The 19,760-nt window shown below is 46.4% G+C and overlaps 1 protein-coding gene and 1 long non-coding RNA gene across 15 annotated transcripts in view, besides 1 other annotated feature; both read right to left on the bottom strand.

Moving 5' to 3' along the window:
* The window catches only part of MRAS (muscle RAS oncogene homolog), a 57,888-nt gene extending 55,867 nt beyond the window's left edge, over positions 1 to 2,021 (bottom strand). For 4 of the 14 annotated variants that reach the window (XM_047447699.1, NM_001085049.3, NM_001252093.2 and 1 more), the window contains exon 1: positions 902 to 1,090. The gene's annotated coding sequence lies outside the window, so the exon portion shown is untranslated. Of the gene's footprint in view, positions 1 to 289; positions 458 to 636; positions 1,091 to 1,343 lie in introns of those variants that run through there. The other 10 variants (XM_047447697.1, XM_047447695.1, NM_012219.4 and 7 more) reach the window with 7 other exon arrangements.
* Positions 623 to 1,578: an enhancer, noted in NCBI's record as "H3K27ac-H3K4me1 hESC enhancer chr3:138066933-138067888 (GRCh37/hg19 assembly coordinates)". NCBI's record gives its function as "activates a minimal SCP1, AML or CMV promoter by ChIP-STARR-seq in naive H9 embryonic stem cells {active_cell/tissue: H9 hESC(naive)}" and the evidence as "EXISTENCE:reporter gene assay evidence [ECO:0000049][PMID:30033119]".
* Positions 2,022 to 8,002: 5,981 nt separating the features above from the next.
* Positions 8,003 to 19,736, bottom strand: LOC124909438 (uncharacterized). The gene is made up of 2 exons (XR_007096113.1): positions 19,499 to 19,736; positions 8,003 to 8,272 (listed from the first exon to the last, which is right to left on the bottom strand). It is a non-coding gene; the product is annotated as an uncharacterized LOC124909438 (long non-coding RNA).
* Between the last annotated feature and the right edge of the window lie 24 nt (positions 19,737 to 19,760).

Raw genomic sequence — 19,760 nt, 5'->3', positions numbered from 1 at the left:
CAGGGAGGTTCCACACCATCAGGGGCCATTGGGGAGTAGGGGCAATGGCAGAGCTCTATGATCAAGGCCCCAGTGGCCTTGATGGACTCTGTCCACCTCTCCAGACTCCACTTTGCCCCAGGCCAGAACAGACCTCAGCTCTAGCCAGAGTCTAACTGGGTGTCCAGTGTATACGCTGCGGCCAGCCAGACATTAACTCCTCTAGGCGGCCTTCTCTCACCTCCCACTCTGCAGTAGGGACCCCTAGGGGCTCCCACAACCCCTGGGCTTACCGAATCTCAGCACTTACCACACTGGCTTGTCACTTTGTGCTCTTGTCTTCCCCGCAGGGCAGGACTGGCACCGTGTCTGATGCCTCAGCCAGATCAGTTCAATGCATGAGCCCAGGCCCTAGTTGTGACCACAGCTCCAGCTCCCCAAACCTCCGGGGGCAGTGAAGGGTTGTTTATGAAGCAGGCTGCGTTTTATTATTCAGATGAATTTGTCAACTCCCTGGCGGATCCCTCCCCTCGTTAACGCCATCTTAAGGCGGGGGGGTAAAGAGTCCCCCACCCACCCACCCATCCCCCGCCGCCCCGTCCTGCCGCCCATCTATCCACCGGGTTCTCGCCCAGGCAGCCAAGGAACTGTAATTACCATGAAAGGGTCTCTCTGAGCGGCGCGCAGGCCCTCCCCACTGGGGTCTTGGTCGTGGCCGATTTCACGAACGCACACCGTTACGCGGGAGCCCGCGATGGGGGCAAAACGCCACGCACAGCCGGTCCCAGGGCGCACCCCGCAAGCGGAGAGCGCGGCCGAGCCCGGAGGGCGGCCACACCTCCCGCCCCGGAACAAAGCGACGGCCGGGGCGAGAGGCGGCGCGGCCGGGCCCCCTCCCCTCCAAGGCCGCCCGACCACTCACCGCGCGCTCCAGCCCCGGCTCGGCTACGGCACTCAGGCCGCCCCCTCCTAGCCTGCGCCGGTGAGGAGGCAGCGTCGCGCCCGCCGGGCCCCGCGGCCGCCGGACTGACGGCTCCCCGCCAGCCGGCCACTCCGGTCCGTCCCCGCCCCGGCGCCTCCTTAAAGCGACCGCGCCGCCAGCGTGCGCCCCGAGCGCCTAGCGCGCCGCGCATTCCTTATATTGCCACAGCGCCTGCTAAAAATAGAGCGCCGCTGCGGGCGCGCCAGTGGGGAGCCCGGGCCGGGTGCCTCGACCCTGTCGCCCCCGCGTGCACCCCGGCCCCCAGGACGCGCGCCTACGAAGTCCAGCCCACCCGCGCCGAGTCCCCTGGGCCCGGCAGGGCGCGCTAGAGCGCCAGGGGCTGGGGTCGGCGCCGCAGCCTCTCCCGCGGCCCAGCACTTACCCGGGTCAGATCCGTGGTGCCGGGGAGCTGGCTTTAAGGTGGACGCCGAGTGGGAATTCGACTCGGCCTCTTTAAGAGCCTCTGCGCTCCAACCTTTAAATCTCCGCTCCGGCCGGGCCAACTTCTGAGCCTAGGGACGCCTCCCCAGTCCTAGGCGAACCTCCGCCGCCACCTTAGCTGCATTCCCTTCGAATCCTGAGACGTCTTTCTTCCAGATCATGCCCCAGCGTCTCTCCCCGCAGGCCTTCTGGGTGCACCGTTCCAGGGCCCAAACTTCGTTGGGATGGATGCGACGGGGACAGGCGACACTCGCGCACCATTTCATTGTTTCAGTTCCGCTAACTCCTCTCCAGCGGCGTCATTTTCCCCCCGTTAAAAAAATAAAGATATAATTCAACACCATAAAATTCCACCTTTTGAAGTGTACAATTCAAGCCGGGCGCGGTGGCTCACGCCTGTAATCCTAACACTTTGGGAGGCCGAGGCGGGTGAATCGCCTGAGGTCAGGAGTTCAAGACCAGCCTAGGCAACATGGTGAAACCCCGTCTCTACTAAAAATACAAAAGTCAACCCGGCATGGCGGCACGTGCCTGTGATCTCATCTACTCGGGAGGCTGAGGCAGGAGAATCACGTGAACCCGGGAGGCAGAGGTTGTAGTGAGCCGAGATTGCGCTACTGCACTCTAGCCTGGGCAACAGAGTGAGACGCTGTCTCAAAAAAAAAAAAGTGTACGATTCAGTGGTGTTTAGCATATTCACAAAGTTTTGCAACCATCACCATGAGCTAATTCCAGAACATTTTCACCACTTCCCACTCCCCTCCCCTGCCCCTCACAAAAAGAACTACCCGTTAGCAGTCACTCCTCATTCACCCCTTTCCTCCGCCTCTGGGAACCACTAATCTACTTTCAATCTCTATGGATTTCCCTATTCAGGACATTTTCTATAAACGGAATCATACAACATGTGGCCTTTTGTGACTATGACTAGCTTCTTTCAGTAACCAATGTTTAATGATCTATTCATGTTGTAACATGTAGCAGTACTTCATTCCTTTTCATGACTGAGTAATATTTCACTGTATGTCTATACGTTTTGTTTATCCCTGCATCACTTGATGGATATTTAGTTTTCTGCTTTGGGGCTACTGTGAATAAAGCTGCTATGAATATTCATGTACAAGTCTTTGTATGAACATATGCTTTTCTTTCTCTTGGGTATATACCTAAGAGTGGAATTCCTGGATCATATGTTAACTCCATGTTTAACTTTTGGGGGAACTGCCAAACTGTTTTCCAAAGCAGCTGCACCATTTTACATTCCCACCAACAACATATGAGGGTTCCAATATCTCCACATCTTTGCAAACACTTGTAATTGTGTGTCTTTTTTTATTCTAGTCATCCTATTGGGGGCGAAATGGCATTTCATTGTGGTTTTGATTGTCAGCATCATTTCTGAGGACATTCTTTTTCTGGGTGGACCTCAATGACTTAGAACCAGCTTTACATGTCCAGGGAACCCACTCCCTTCTCAGGTTTGCCCCAGGCCTAAGGGAGCCTCACAGTGCTGCTGGCTCTGCCTGCCATGCTGAGGCTCTTAATCCCATGCAGGCTTCCTTTGGCATCCCAGCCACCCATGCAGCCATTTGGTGGGAGCTGCTGTGCACCCCCTGTGCCTCCACTCCCACCTGCTGCTCCAAAGACCCTGTAGACCCCAAGTGTCCCCCAGGAAGGGGACAGCAGGTTGGGTGCCATCAAGAGTATCTCTCCTTGGCAGTAGGGAGTAAAAGACCTGGTTGGGGAGAAGGCTTGAGGGACAGTAGTTTACCTCGACTGTCTAGGTTTGCCCTGGAACCTGACTCCCTCAACCCCCTCTATTTACCACAGAACTTGGGAAGGCGGGCAGGGATCTGTACATCCTGGTGGCCTGTCAGCCCCTCGTGGGCTCCCCATGTAAGAGATGTCCTCTCTTGGGCCCTGACTGGCACAAGACCCTGACCATGCCCTCAGCTTGAGCTGAGCCAACATCTATGCAAGAGTCAAAGAGATGTCTTTATACTGCTTTTATACACATATCTGTAATAATACCTCTTCTCAGAAATGGAACTTAAACAGCTAATAGTCATACCCAGGTACCTGGGATTCTCCTTTTTTTTTTTTTTTTTTTTTTTTTTTTTTGAGACAGAGTCTCGCTCTGTCACCCAGGCTATAATGCAGTCGCATGATCATAGCATCATAGCTCACTGCAGCCTCGACCTCCCGGACTCAAGACATCTTCTTACCTCAGCATCCTGAGTAGCTGGGACTATAGGTGTGCACCACCATGCCTGGCTACTTCTTGTACTTTTTGTAGAGATGTTCCCGAGGCTGATCTCGAACTCCTGGGACTCAAGCAATCCACCTATCTGGGTCTCCCAAAGTGCTGGGATTACAAGTGTGAGACACTGTGCTTGACCTACCTAAGATTGCCTAATGGTGAGAGTAAATCTTGCAGATTGCGATTGCGGATGGGCTGTTCCATTTGAGCTGCCTCCTCTGCTCTTTGAACCTTGAAATACAAGTTGTGGCTCAGTTGCTGGCAAATGGGGGCTTAGAGAACAGAGCCACTGAGCAGAAAAGCTTCATTCATCCAGTAAACACTGCCAGAGCATCTACTGAGTACCGGGCACTGGGGCAGAGACCTGCCTTCAAGCAAGCTGAGTGCCAACTGAGGAGCAAGTGGTGTGGAACAGAGAAGCACAGGGACTGTGGAAGACCAGAGGAAGGGCACCTAATCCAATATGGCGAGGAGGCAAGTGCCAAGGGAAGGACTTCTGTGAGAGCTGATGACTGAGCCACATCTGGAAGGACAAATAACAATTAGCTAGGGCCGGGTGTGGTGGCTCATGCCTGTAATCCCAGCACTTTGAGAGGCCAAGGCAGGCAGATCACAAGGTCAGGAGTTCAAGACCAACCTGGCCAATATGGTGAAACCCCGTCTCTACTAAAAAAAAAACAAAAATTAGCCAGGTGTGGTGGCGGGTGCCTGTAGTCCCAGCTACTAGAGAGGCTGAGGCAGGAGAATTGCTTGAACCCGGGAGGCGAAAGTTGCAGTGAGCTGAGATCCTGCCACTGCACTCCAGCCTGGGGGACAGAGTGAAACTCCATCTCAAAAAACAAAAATTAGCTAGGCTGAGAAGGGAAGGAGAAAACCTTATATGCTGAAGGATGATTGAGCAGAAGTCTTTCCAAAGTCTCTGGCAGATGTGCCTGGCTGATCAGGTGTGTTTGAGGCATGGCAGAAGGCCAGACACCTAGCCAAAAACCCAGGCAAGGCTCAGGCCCAAATTTAATCCACAGAGGTCCAAGGTCAGACACAGGGCCAGGAGCCAATTTCTGGCTAAAGTCAGAGCCACTGAACTGACCCAGAGCAGGACAAAACAAACATACTTCATCCACTGCAACATGTCCTACACTTGCCTCTCTGCCCTGAGGCTTGCTGAGTGCCATGCCTCAGAGCCAATCCAAACTGGTGCCTAGTTCAGCAGCAAACGTGGGGGCTTGGGACCTTGGGGCTGGAAGTCAACCAGGTCATTGTGGCCCAGCCTTCCTCTAGAACTCCCAGCTTCAGGCCAGACGCGGTGGCTCACATCTGTAATCCCAGCACTTTGGGAGGCCGAGTCAGGTGGATCACCTCAGGTCAGGAGTTTGAGACCAGCCTGACCAACATGGTGAAACCCCACCTCTACTAAAAACACAAAATTAGCCAAACATGGTGGCGCATGCCTGTAATGCCATCTACTTGGGAGGCTGAGGCAGGAGAATCACTTGAACCCAGAAGGTGGAGGTTGCAGTGGGCCGAGATCGCACCATTGCACTCCAGCCTGGGCAACAAGGGTGAAACTCTGTCTCAAAAACAAACAAACAAACAAACAAACAAAAAACCTCCCAACTTCAGTGTATTCCCTAAGGGTAAAAGAAGCCGTGAGTTTCTGAGCACTCACAGCGTGCCTGACACCAGACATAGTGATGGGTCTGACCCTGTGCTGTAGGTCATCTGAGCCCTGTCTTAGATATAAGGAGACTGTGAGCCCAATCCTACACAGCTGGTAGACTAAGAATCAGGCTCTTCTGACCACAAAGCCTATACTCTTCTCCCATGCCAAGTGGCCTTGATGGACAAGTGTGTGTTTGGTGTTGGCGGAGCAGGGATAAGGTGAATAGGAGACGAGTGCTCATTCTAGTCACTGGGCCTGCGGCTGGAATTAGATCTTTTGGTGACCCTGAAGCACCAACCATGGGCTAGCAAAAGAACCTTGCCCCCACGACCTATGCTTATTCATTCCTCAAGCTGACCCTTCTTCTGTGCCAAGTACAAGGCCTTTCTTCCCCTGGGCTGCCCATGATGTAATGCCAAAAACTTATACTCTGCTTTCAGAGTTTTCATGGACTTTACCAATCCAGGCCCAATCACTTCTCATCTTTACTCCTCCCTGCTACCCTGCTGTGGCTTGAATGTCTCCTCCAAAACTCACGTTGAAATTAATTGCTAGAGGTGGGGCCTTTCACAGCTGATTAATGCCATTGCTGTGGGAATGGGTTAGTATTACAGGGAGTGGGTTCCTAATAGAAAAGACAAGTTTGGTCCAATTTTCTCTCTGTCTCATGCTAGCTTCTGCCTGCCTTCTGCCATGGGAGGGCCCTCACCAGATGCCAGTGCCATGCTCTTCAACTCCCCAGCCTCCAGAACTGTGAGCCAAATAAATCTCTTTTCTTTGTAAATTACTCTGTCTATGTTATTGTGTGTTATAGCAGCAGAGGGGTATGGACTAAAACACAGCCCTCCACACCTACCACCTCCTCCAGCTTCATTAGGAGCTAGGCCTCATAAGGTTTTCTTCTCTGATACTTATAGTTCATTCCTTACATGGGCTCGCTCTTGCTATCTGGGGCTAGAAGAGAAGCTTCCAATCAATCTCCTTCCCATTAACGGCTAAACTTCTCCAAAAGTTGTCCATACTCAGCTAATGTGTTGGTTTCTGATAATGTTTGTTTTTCTTCCCTTAACTCTTACTCCGTTAAACTAAAGTTCAGCAGCTTTTAAACACTGTGGGCTGTAATCCATAGGAAGAAATAGGTTTTACACTGCAAACCAGAACACACACACACACAAATGCACATACACGAAACAAAATTTAACGCTAGCATGACCTACTAAATCAATTTTGTGCCCCATTAATGGATTGTAACCTACAGTTTGAAAAACATTGTTCCATTTTTTGACACCCAGAGCCTCAGGGTAGTGATAATGCAGCAGAAATTTGTCAAGGAAAAAAAAAAAGTCAACTCTAAAATACTGAAACACATGCTAGAGACAACTGTTTAAAAAGAAAAGTTTTGAGTTTCAAAAGCCTAGGCGATTTCCTCTTCTAGGTAGGATTTAGCAGGCAACAAAATGAGATGAGGCTCCCCAGCTGTTCCCTCATCCCCAGGACATTTGTGAGTTTGGGGCACTTGCTGATGATCAAGTTTGCCTAGCAGGAGGACCTGTAATGGAGGAAAGGGAAACCAGCAAAGCGTTCAGTGACCACAGGTGCTAGAATGACAAATTAGAACACGGGAGCTTTAAACACAAAACCAATTTTCTGCACCTGACATTTGCTGAGTTCTGCACCTAGGAATGCATCTAAAAGCAGAATAGGGCCGGATGCAGTGGACCATACCTGTAATCCCAGCACTTTGGGAGGCCGAGGCAGGAGGATCACTTGTGCCCAGGAGTTCAAGACCAACCTGGGCAACACAGGGATACTCCATGTCTACAAAGAAAAAATAAAACTTAGCCAGATGTGGTGGTGTGCACCTGTGGTCCTAGCTACTCAGGAGGCTGACATGAAAGAATCACTTGGGCTGGGGAGGTCAAGACTGCAGTGAGCTCTGATTGCACCAACTGCACTCCAGCCTGGGCAACAGAGCAAGACCCTGTTTCAAAAAAAAAAAAAAAAGGTTGAAATATTCTACGGTCCCACAGTGCTTAGAAAACGAAAGTTTCCCAAGAAGGAAGGGCCTTCCCCAAACACAGAGCCAACTCCCACCTCAAGACATTGGCCAGATCTTGAAGCTCCATGGAGACAGAGTCTGGAAGCTGGACCGGGAACCTCTGAAAAGCAGAGCTGAATCTCCATAGTCTTTCATGGCTGAGGATCCAGAAACCTGGCAAGGCACTCACCCAAAATCCACATGTCAGGTATAGGGGCAAACCAGAGATAGACTTGAGATAGATAGATTCCAAAAACCAAAACCCAGTCCCAACCCACTTCAATCCTTCACTGGACTGATGTGATCATTCCTTACCCCCATCTGCTTAACAGAAGAAAGAGAGAACACTGTGTGGCAAATTATATCATCTGGAGTCTCTATGCCTCTTACATATAATGTCTACATATAGTAAAAAATAGACTTGTGAAAAGGCATGAAAATATCATTGATAAGCAAGAGAAAAAAACAGACAATAGAAGAAGACACACAGATCATCCAGATGTTGTGATTGGTAGACAAAGGCTTTAAAATAATTGACTGTGGAGGAACTGGAACTCTCACACATTGCAAGTAGAAGTATAAATTGGTATAGCCATGTATTATTGGTCAGAGTTTACTCAGGATACAGAAACCACACAATAATTTGGACAAGGATATTTTAATATAAAAAAATACTATGTGTAAGAGGGGATTACCTAGTAAAGGGAAAAGAAAACTCTAAAGAATACAATTACAGCAGATATAAGGGGCAGCCTCTAGGGCTGAGGCAGAGCACCCAAGGAAGGAAGAAACCTGGATGAGGTCCTCATCTTCACATTCTACCACCAGGCTAAGATCCATACCTTGCTGAAGATGGTAATGGATGACGGAGAAGTTCATTGCAGTTCTATGCAGATGTGATTCTGTATGAATCTACAATGGTAGGTACATGTCATTATACATTTGTCAAAACCCATAGAATTGTACAATACCAAGAGTGAACCTTAATATAAATTATTGACTTTGGGTGATTATGATGTGTCAATGTAAACTCAAATATAACACTCTGAAGGAAGATGTTGATAATCCAGGAGGCTATGCCTGTATGTGGGTAGGAGGTATATAGAAAATCTCTGCACCTTCCTCTCAATTTTGCTCTGAACTTAAAACTGCTCTTAAAAATTAAAAAAAAAAAAAAAAAAAAAGGCTGGGCATGGTGGTTCATGCCTGTAATCCCAGCCCTTTGGGAGGCCAAGATGAGTGGATCACCTGAGGTCAGGAGTTCTAGACTAGCCAGGCCAACATGGTGAAACACCGTCTCTACTAAAAATACAAAAAAAATTAGCTGGGTGTGGTGGCGCATGCCTATAATCCCAGCTACTCGGGAGGCTGAGGCAGGAGAATCACTTGAACCCGGGAGGTGGAGGTTGCAGTGAGCCGAGATCACGCCACTGTACTCCAGCCTGGGTGACAAAACGAAACTCTGTCTCAAAAAAAAAAAAGGAAAGGAAAAAAAAAAAAAAGCCAGAAGATCCTATGGACCTTGCAGTTAGCCTGGAAAAAATGTAGAATATCTGCAGGTAATATCAGCCTGATACCACCATACGTGTACATCCCTGCAGATGCCAGAGTAGACAGGTAATCCACCCACTGTGCACTGGCATTAGGTAAGTCCCTTATAACTGCAAGGTAACTCCAACAAAGGGGTGTGTTGGGGATGGGTGGTGAGAAACAGTAATTAACCGAGAAATTTCTGAATTTACTGATAGGAAATGGAACTGGCCATGGCTTAATTTGGGAAAGCAGGTGGGATGAGAGCTTTTTGGGGTTTTTTTTTTGTTTTTTTTTTTGTTTGTTTTTTTCCTGTCACCCAGGCTGGAGTGCAGTGGCGTGATCTCAGCTCACTGCAGCCTCCATCTCCCGGGTTCAAGAGGTTCTCCTGCCTCAGCTTCCCAAGTAGGCACATGCCACAACGCCTGGCTAATTTTTGTATTTTTAGTAGAGACAGGTTTTCACCATGTTAGCCAGGCTGGTCTTGAACTCCTAGCCTCAAGCTATCCACCCGCCTCGGCCTCCCAAAGTGCTGGGATTACGGGTGTGAGCCACAGCGCATAGCTGAGAGTTTCAAATAATGTTTAAGTGAATAGCATTGTTTGAGGTGGTGGATTTAGAAACAATCTTGATGCTGGCTGGGCGCGGTGGCTCATGCCTGTAATCCCAGCACTTTGGGAGGCCGAGGTGGGCGGATCACGAGGTCAGGAGATCAAGACCATCCTGGCTAACACAGCGAAACCCCGTCTCTACTAAAAATACAAACAAAATTAGCCGGGCATGGTGGCGGGCGCCTGTAGTTCCAGCTACTCGTGAGGCTGAGGCAGGAGAATGGTGTGAACCCGGGAGGCGGAGCTTTCTGTAAGCCGAGATCGTGCCACTGCACTCCAGCCTGGGCGACAGAGCGAGACTCCATCTCAAAAGAAAAAAAAACAAAAGAAACAATCTTGATGCTTATCACTGGGGAGTGGATAGGGAAGATGTGGTGAGTGCTTGCCATGAAGTACCAGGCAGCACCTGGACCAAATGTTCACACATAGCAACATGTATGGATCTTAAAAACACTGGATGGTTGAAAAAGAAAGAGAATGAGAAATAAAGTGTATAACACAATAATCCCTATGTAAATTTAAAACATATGCACATACAACAAAAAATGTTCTGCAAATATATATACAAAAAAGGAAATACTTATTAGAAACATTAGAAGGTTTTCCTGTGGGGGATTAGTGCAGAATAAGAGTAGGAAAGGAGATTGTCTTAGCTTGGGTTCCTTAGAAAACGGACTGTGTAAAGTGCATTTACTAACACTTTATTGGAGGAAGGTACAATCCCAGGGCAGCAAAAGTGAGAGGAAAAGGGAGGTGAGGCAGGAAAGGTGGGGAAGCAAATGAAAGATGGCGCACTAACTAGGCTGACCATAACCTCATCCAAAAATGCAAGACATCTGGAACCACTGAGCACTGGAGTAGTTTCATTAGGGAGAAGAGTTTATCTCTTTCCTGTCTTATGTCTCTCATGGCTCAAAGTCCTTCCCAGGATGCACTCATTCCACTTCCAGGCTGTATCATCAGCTTCTCCAGGCAGCCACAGAGGGACCCAGATCCTGTGTGGTGGTGCTTCGCCCGCCTTAGGGGGTGGTGGGAATGCCCAGAGGTTCGTGGGTCTGATCCGCCAAGGCTTGTGGCCAGACCTGCTGCGACTCTGGCTTCAGCAAGAACAATGGAGGCCTTGCCAGGGCTGGGATCTCATCCTAGTGAAGGCTGGGACAGCTGGTGGTGTTAGGAGATGAGGTGTTGGTAGTAGCAGCTGTGGCTCAATTGCATAAGTGGCTCAAGGCCTGGGGAGCAGATGGGCCCAATAAATTGGGTCTGATACAATGCCTTTGCATGGATTCCATGCATAATTCTGCTCAAGGACACAGAGTGATCAGGGCAGACTTCCAGTACAGTATGTTCATTCCCCTGAAGCCGTAGGCTAAACCTGCATGTGGACTGAGGTCCTAATTCTTAGACATCTTTGTCCAGATCCTACTCATGACTGGGCTCGGTTTTTCCCCCCATGCCTGTTCTCAGGAGCAAGTCTTCTCTAGGATTGTACAACTTCTCCCTTCATGCTGGGAAATAAAGCTGAAAAGGGAAGAGGACCCAGGCCCAGCCACTGCAGTGGACGCATTTTCCAATTATGGCTACTATGTTTGGAGTATTAATAAACTGGTCATTTTTTCTGGTAACTAAATGACCTGGAGAGGCAGGAGCTGCAGTGGAGCAAAGAGCCCCCACGCCTCCTCCATGGTCTTAAGCACACTGCACATGTCCAGACCAGGGCAGACCTCCCAGAGCCTGAGCTTGTCACATCCAGGCACGTGTGTGAGCCTTTGGGGCGTCACAGGCTATTTATTACTTGGCTCATTTTCCCGGAGTGTTGTTTTTACTCAATGAATTAAAAGAATAAAGTTTTGAAATTTTATTCTTTTCAGTGGTTTTGTTACATGCAGATACAAACCAAATCAAGCACCTCCTGTTTTTCTCTCAATCATTCCCATGTTTTTTTCATGAAATCCCAGAATTCACATTCAGTGAGTGACGTAAAGACTTGGTAATTTGGAGTGCCCTGATGCTATGGTTTGGATGTGGTTTGTTTGGCTCCACCAAGTCTCATGTTGAAATTTGATCCCCAATGTTGAAGGTGAGGCCAGGTGAGAGGTGTTTGGATCATAGGGGCAGATTCCTGTGAATGGCCTAATGCCATCCTCAAGGGAATGAGTGAATTTTCACTCTTAGTTCCCATGAGAATTGGTTGTTGGAAAGAGCCCAGTACCTCCTCTGTGCTCTCTCTTGCTTTCTTTCTCACCATGTGATCTGCACATACCAGCTTCATTTTGCCTTCTGCCATGAATGGAAGCAGCCTCAGGCCCTCATTAGATGCAGATGCTGGCACCATTCTCCTTGTAGAGTCTGCAGAATTGTGAGCCAAATAAACCTCCTTTCTTTATCAATGACTTGGCCTCAGGTATGAGCAACACAAAATGGACTAAGACTTCTGAGCACTTGCTGGTATTGGTTCTGTGAGCACGCTCAAGTAAAAAGACACGTATAGGGTGGGTGACTGCTGGAGAATGAGTTACTGCTGTTGTCTCTGGCCCGCACAACTAGTACTGTACCTGGCTGGGGGTGGGAGGCGGCTAGCTTTTTGGATAGCAAATCTATGGTCATCTGAACTAAAATAACGAAACTATTCTGGTCAATTCCCCAATTTTGGGGGAGCTGGGTGAAAAGGACTATGGGTCTTTTAAGTAACTTACATTTACTCAAAATCTTACATTTTCAGGCTAGGCGTGGTGGCTCATGCCTGTAATCCCAGCACTCTGGGAGGCCGAGGTGGATGCATCACTTGAGGTCAAGAGTTCAGGACAGCCTGGCCAACATAGTGAAACCCATTCTATACTAAAAAAAAACACAAAAATTAGCTGGGTGTGGTGGCATACACCTGTAGTCCCAGCTACTTGGGAAGGTGAGGCAGGAGAATCTCCCAGGAGTGGAGGCTGCAGTGAGCCGAGATCACACCACTGCACTCCAGCCTGGGCCACAGAGCAAGACTCTGTCTTGAAAAAAAAAAAAAAAAAAAACTTAAATTTTTCAGAAACTTACATTTGATAAAAATGACAGTGTGGAGGGTAAAAAATCATTTTTAAAGCATCAGACATCTTTCTTCACTGAAAAAAAATCCTTTAATAACATTTCCTGAAAGCTGATAAAAAGCTGACCTTCGGCTAGGCATTGTGGCTCACACCTATAATCCCAGTAATATAGGAGTTATTAAGAAATTATTTTTAGGCAGCTAGAAAGGCTTGGTGGAATTTTCCTTTAATGAAAAGCAGTCCCCAAACCATATCTAGCAAAAAACATCCTGGAAGCTCAGACTGCAAGCATAGATATGCATATGTAAATGCAGGTGGCTAAGAGCCAGGTCCACCCAATATTGTGGTTCTCACTCCCTTTTCCTTGCCACCACATGTGCGGGTGTCACAGCACCATCCAGGTAAAACCAAGTGTCATGGTGACCCCCAGGTAGAAGCTGCATTTGCATAATAAAAGACTATGGCAGAAGAGTCAGTCTTTTCGTGAGCTCTGTAAAATGTCATACCTGGTCAAACCAATCCCCTAGGCCCTATGTAAATCAATTACTGCCTCCTCAATCCTCTTTACAAAACTGATCGCATTCCACCCCAAACCAAAGACCCCCTCTTGGGTGACCCGCTTTCTCAGTATGAGGAAGTTCTCTTTCTCCTCTTCTTTGTCTATTAAACTTTCCACTCCTAAACCCACTTCTCATGAGTGTCGGTGTCCTGAACTCTTTCTTGGCGTGAGACAAAGAACCACAGGTAAATCCTGAGACAACGGAGCTGTTTCACCAGCACTTTGGGAGGCCAAGGTGGGAGGATTGCTTGAGCCCAGGAGTTTGAGACTAGCCTGGACAACACAGCAAGACCCTGTCTCTACAAAAAATTTAAAAATTAGCTGGGAATGGTGTCATTTGCCTGTAGTCTCAGCTACTTGGGAGGCTGAGGTGAAAGGATTGCTTGAGTCCTGGAGTTTGAGGCTCAGTGAGCAATGATGATTGGGCCACTGCACTCCAGCCTGGGTGACAGAGTGAGACCTCAAAAAAAAAAAAAAAAAAAGCAGCAGCAGCTTAGGTAAGAGCCATTCCCTGCCACATGAACAATGTGGCCTCTCAACAGGAGATAGTCACAATGACATTCTGCCACCCATAGCCTGGGGCCAGCTTCCTGAGCATCTCTCAGTAACCGAGCCCCAGTTTGTAAAACAATGGAAAAATGATCTTCATTTGTGGTCACATGTTTTCATGAGTTTTAGTACTTGAAATATTGTAATACCAAGTCAAAGAAAAAAATTGCCTGGATGCTGAATTTGAAATGCAGGGCTTGCTTGCTCTAATTTAGCCCAATTTTCTGAAATCCAGTAGCATCATCCAGTAGCATCACGTCAAATGTCTTGACAAACAAGACAGTTAGAAAACACTTTTAAAATCCCTGATGGCTAGAATTTTAAAGTGTTATTTTTACATTAAAACAAATACGGATGTGGTATGTTGTATTCCATAAAATGCACACAAATCTTTGAGTTAAATATTAGTGATGTTTAGAGATCTCTAAATGCTTAAGGCCTTTTAGCATTAAGCCCTCAAATCTCCAGGGCAGCCATTCAGGAAACTTTGGGTGAAACACTGGAGGAGTGTGGTCCTCGATAATGAGGTCTTTGTAGCTTGACTGAAATCTAGCTCTGCCTCAAAAGTTTCAAGTGTATGGGCAAGGAGTTCTAATGGGAGGTTGGAAGAGCATGCTCTCTAGGAGGCTCAACAATCAAGGGCAAAGTTCATTACCTCTAGGGAGGTGTCAAGAACTGTAAATCATCTGAGATTTTACCCTCCTTGCAAGCTTACAAGTTATTCTTCCATAATCATGGATGCTGAAAGAACATATAAGTCGCTCCTGGGTCAGAGATGAAGGATAGTTTATTATTCAAAGCAATAGCAATAACCAAAGTATTAGCATTTTTGCATAGGTTTCCTGAACTGATTCCCATAGGACAATGCAGAGAGGGCCAGGTGACACCTGCACATGCAGCAGGTTGTGTTATAGGAGAAGAATCCTAGCTTCAAGAAACCAAAGCTTTTACACTGAAGAGTTAAGTATGCTTTCTACAGAAGGAGACATTATCTCTAACTTCCAAGGCTGTAAACAAACCTTTCCTTTGCTTTAGAAGGAGATACTACCTCTATCTTTCAAGGTTGTTCACTATATAAACATTCCTGGAAAGGCTGTTGGGAATAAAGCAGTCAGTGCCTCTGCTTGAAAAATATGCAGATGCATGAGAGACCCATGGAGAAACATCGGTCAACAGGAGGGACCTATGGTCAGCTTCCTCTACAACATGTAGAAGTCTCCTTGTCATCTCCTCTGACTTCTCAGTAAGCATGAATGGTGGGCAGCATAGGGCTCATTCGTTCAGGTCATGATGGAAACCTGAGGTTCATTAAAAAAGATTCACTAGGAAGTAGCTGGGACAACCTGCCCTACAGGGACTCACAATACAGATGAGCAGTTTGATTGTAACCCCCAATGACTACTACGACACGAAGAAAATGCAACACAGTCCAAGGCAGGTTGTTAGGCTCAGACTAGCTGCTTCCATTTTATGGCTCACTATCTTGTGTTTTCAAAGTTACCCTCACAATCAACAAAGAAACTACCAGCACTAATAAGTGAGTTTAGCAAGATCTCAGAATACAAAGTCAATATACAAAAAATCAGTTGTATTTCTATGTACTGGCAGCACAAAATTGGCAATAAATTTTGAAAGTCAATTTCATTAATAATAGCATAATGAATACAAATGACTTGCAAGATTGGTTTAACAACTATAAAACATTGCTGAAGTTAAAGAATAAATGGAACACACATCCTATTTATGGACTGGAGGACTCCGCATTATTAAGATGTCAATTCTTCCCAAGTCAATCTTTAGGTTTAATGCAATTTAATCAAATTTTCAAGAGGATTTTTAAAGACAGACATATTAACAGATTGACTCTAGGATTTGTATGAAAGTAAAAGAACTTAAAATAGACAAATAATTTTGAAAAAGAAAAACAAGGTTGGATGACTTAGATTACCTGATTTTAAGACTTACTATACAACTAGTAATCAAGTACTGGTATAAGGATGGTCAACTAGATCAGCGGAATAGACTAGAGAATCCTGAAGGAAACTCACACTTACATGGCCAGTTGGTTTTTGACAAAGACACCAAATCAATCCAGTGAAGTAAAGGAAAGTCTTCTCAGCAAATGGTGCTTATGCAACCAGAAATCCATATGGGGAAATAAAAAACCTCATATCCCACTCAAATATTAATTTGAAACAAATGGTGATATACTGAGACCATGGAATACGAAGTAATAAAAAGGAATTAAAATATTGATCCACACAACAACTTGGATGAACCTCCTGGGGAGTTATGGCTTGCAATCCTTGGCTGGGAAGCTGCTGCCCAACGTATCTATACTGTGGAAAGGGGGCATGATACCTTCACAACAACAACAATAATACTGTTTTTTGGGTTTTTTGTTGTTGTTGTTGTTTTTTGAGATGGAGTCTTGCTCAGTTGCCCAGGCTGGAGTGCAGTGGTGCAATCTCGGCTCACTGCAAGCTCTGCCTCCCGGGTTCACGCCATTCTCCTGCCTCAGCCTCCCGAGTAGCTGGGACTACAGGCGCCCGCCACCACGCCCAGCTAATTTTTTTTTGTATTTTTAGTAGAGACGGGGTTTCACCACGTTAGCCAGGAGGGTCTCGATCTCCTGACCTCGTGATCCACCCGCCTTGGCATCCCAAAGTGCTGGGACTGATTACAGGCGTAAGCCACTGCACCCGGCCAACAGTAATACTGGTTTTAATGTCAAGAAACTTTGAAACGCATTACCTCTCTCCACAACATTCCTGAAAGGTAGGTCTTATTTCCCTGTTTAAAGATGAGGAAACAAGCCGGGCATGGTGGTGGACACCTGCAGTCCCAGCTGCCTGGGAGGCTGAAGTGGGAGGATTGCTTGAGCCTAGGTGTTCCAGGCACCTCGCAACATAACAAGACCCCATTTCTTTAAAAAAAAAAAAATTTAAAGATGAGGAAACTAAGACTGACTGAATAAGCTGAAGTAGCTTCACCCAAGCTTAGACAGGTAGTAGGTGTATCTGTGATCCAGCCCACATCTGTCTGACCCTAAAGTTCCCAGTTCTACCACTCCCAGCTGCCTTCCTCAGAGCAAGGCACAGGAGGGACCTGCTGTTACTTGTGGAAAAAAGAAGACATTACACCTGGAAGGAGAGAGGAGTTAGGTTAGACGAAGATGTGTATATACATTCTTATCTTCTACGATGAAAAACGGGAAGGCATCCGAGGAAGCACAGCCTGCTTTGGTCTATGATTTCCTCTTAAAGTGAGGAGGGTCATTCTTGTTTTACAGAGTCACATCAGTTCTGAAGCATTTTGATAAAGAAAATGCTCCTAGTGTCCAATTTGGGTCTCAGAAGGGTTTATTTTGAGTAAACCACCACCTTGTGGCAATAAACATGAGTTGCAGGAGGAAGAGTTTGGTTTTTAATCTTTTGAACTCTAAAACACCTCAGTAGCCCTTAAATTTAGTTAGCAGGTTTTGCATTAAAATAAAACAAACAAAAAAGTACATCACTGAGGGAAGGGCTGATTAAAAATAGATACATTTGAAAAAATCTGACTTTTGGATAATAAATAAAAACACTGACCCAGCGGGGAGCAGTGGCTCATGCCTGTAATCCCAGCACTTTGGGAGGCTGAGGCAGGCGGATCATAAGGTCAAGAGATCTAGACCATCCTGGCCAACCAACGGGGTAAAACCCCATCTCTACTAAAAATACAAAAATTAGCTGGGCATAGTGCCACATGCCTGTAGTCCCAGCTACTCGGGAGGCTGAGGCAGGAGAATTGCTTGAACGCGGGAGGCGGAGGTTGCAGTGAGCTGAGATCACGCCACTGCACTCCAGCCCAGGTGACAGAGCAAGACTCTGTCTCAAAAAAAAACCAAAAAAACAAAAACAACAACAACAAAAAAAACCATTCACCTGTGTCACAAAACATGTAAAAGATGGAAGTTTTATTAAAAAGCAGGAGTGGCCCAAGGTGATTCATCTGGGAAAAAACTGATGAGGTTCCATGTTGTCCAAACTGTAATTTTTTTTTTCTTTGAGATGGAGTCTTGTTCTGTCACCCAGGCTGGAGTGCAGTGGCACGATCTTGGCTCACTGCAACCTCCGTCTTCTGGGTTCAAGTGATTCTCCTGCCTCAGCCTCCCAAGTAGCTGGGATTATAGGCATGCACCACCAGGCCCAGTTATTTGATACTTTTTTTTAGTAGAGACAGGGTTTCACCATGTTGGCCAGGCTCCTGCCCTCAAGTGATCCACCTGCCTCGGCCTCCCAGAGTGCTGGGATTACAGGCGTGAGCTACTGCACCCTACCCAAACTGTACACTTTTGAAAGTGAGAGGGGTTGCTATTAATAATTGCATGGGACAACAGGTGAAAAGTGGGGGTGTCCCAGGCAAACTGGGACATGTGGTTTACCTAAATTTGTTTCTGAGGTTTAGCCTGGCAAAGATGTGAGTACATTTTGTAATAGAGACCACATGGTAAGAAATTTAACCCTTTCAGAAAGAATAAATGTCACTATCTTTCCATGTGCTGGCAAGAGGAATTTAGCATCTGATTTGAATTTTATTTTGGAAACTAAATTCTAAGGGAGATTCCACACCATTCAAGAGCTTCAGCAACCACCACCTTGTGGCAATGAACATGATTTGCATCTAGTCAACTCAGTTTGCAATGTGGTGTCTTAAGGACTGCCTGTGGCTCTGCGTAATATTATCATGGAACTGAATATTGCCATGGGACTGAATGCAAGAAAAGAGTAGGTGGATTCGGAGCTGAAGTGGGAGAAGGCAGGATGACAGGTAGGAAGATGTTCGGTCTCCAGTATACCCATCGCCCTGTACTTCACAGAGGGTTGCTGGGTACCTCATGGCCAAACAGGGTATCAGCACTCCCTGGATGGAAATCATTTGGTGTATGCTTCACTTAGGAAGAATTGATATCTTAACAATATTAATTCTTCCTATCCATGAACACGGAATATTTCTTCATTTATTTAAATCTGTGAGATCTCTTTCATCAGCTGTGATTGATTCCTAGTTTAATTCTATTGCAGTCAGAGAACATACTTTGTTCTATCCTTTTAAATTTGTTAAGCTATGTTTTATGGCCTAGATTGTGGTCTATCTCAGTGAATGTCCCATGTGAGCTTGAGAAAGAATCTATATTCCGCTGTTGTTGAACTAAATATTGCATAAATGTCAATTAGATCAATTTGATATTTTTCAGTTCAACTATATCCTTGCTCATTTGCTTCTGCTGGATGTATTAATTACTTTTTAAAAATGGTATGAAAGCATTCTATTATAATACTGAGTTTACCTATTTTTCCTTGCAGTTTTATCTTCTTTTGCCTCACATATTTCGGTGCTCTGTTTTTAAGTACATACATATTAAGTATTGTTATGTCTTCCCAAATAACTGATCCCTTTAACTTTATGTAATGTCCCTGTTTATACCTGATAAATTTCCTTGTTCTGAAGTCTGCTTTTCTTGAAATTAACATACCTACTTCAGCTATTTTTTTAATTAGTGTCAGCCTGGTATAGCTTTCTCTATCCTTTTGCTTTTAATGTATTTTCTTGTGGATAACACACGATTGGGCTTTGTTTGTTTTTGAAATCCATTCTGACAATCTCTTTTTTAATTGGTGTAATCAGATTATTCACATTTAAAGTGGTTATTGATACAGTTGGATTAATATCTACAATGTCTGTAACTGTTTTGTATGTGTCTCACTTGACTTTCATATCTAATTTTGAATTTGTAATTTCATATTCTTTGCCTTAAAGAGAACGCTTGCAGATCCCTCAAAACCTGGAGACACCCCCCACCTTGCACACATTATACCGGTATGTGATGGTAGAAAAGCTGCACATCAGTCTTGGCAGGCAGGGCAGGAGGGATGCAGGGATTCACAGATGCGACTGTGCAACGCACAGATGCACTGGGTCTTTGCTTGGTGGGTTCGAAGCCTCCAGACGCTGACAAACACTGCAGCCAATGAGTGGGTTCCTATGGTCCGATATGGAGGGCAAGGGGCGGGACTCCCTCCTGCCTCTCCCTGGCTGGGTTCAGAGCCTCCGCGGAGAGACTGCGTTGGGCCCAGAGT

Source organism: Homo sapiens, chromosome 3 (assembly GCF_000001405.40).
Source record: "Homo sapiens chromosome 3, GRCh38.p14 Primary Assembly".
Lineage (NCBI taxonomy): Eukaryota > Metazoa > Chordata > Mammalia > Primates > Hominidae > Homo > Homo sapiens.
This window is presented reverse-complemented; position numbering and strand designations above follow the sequence as displayed.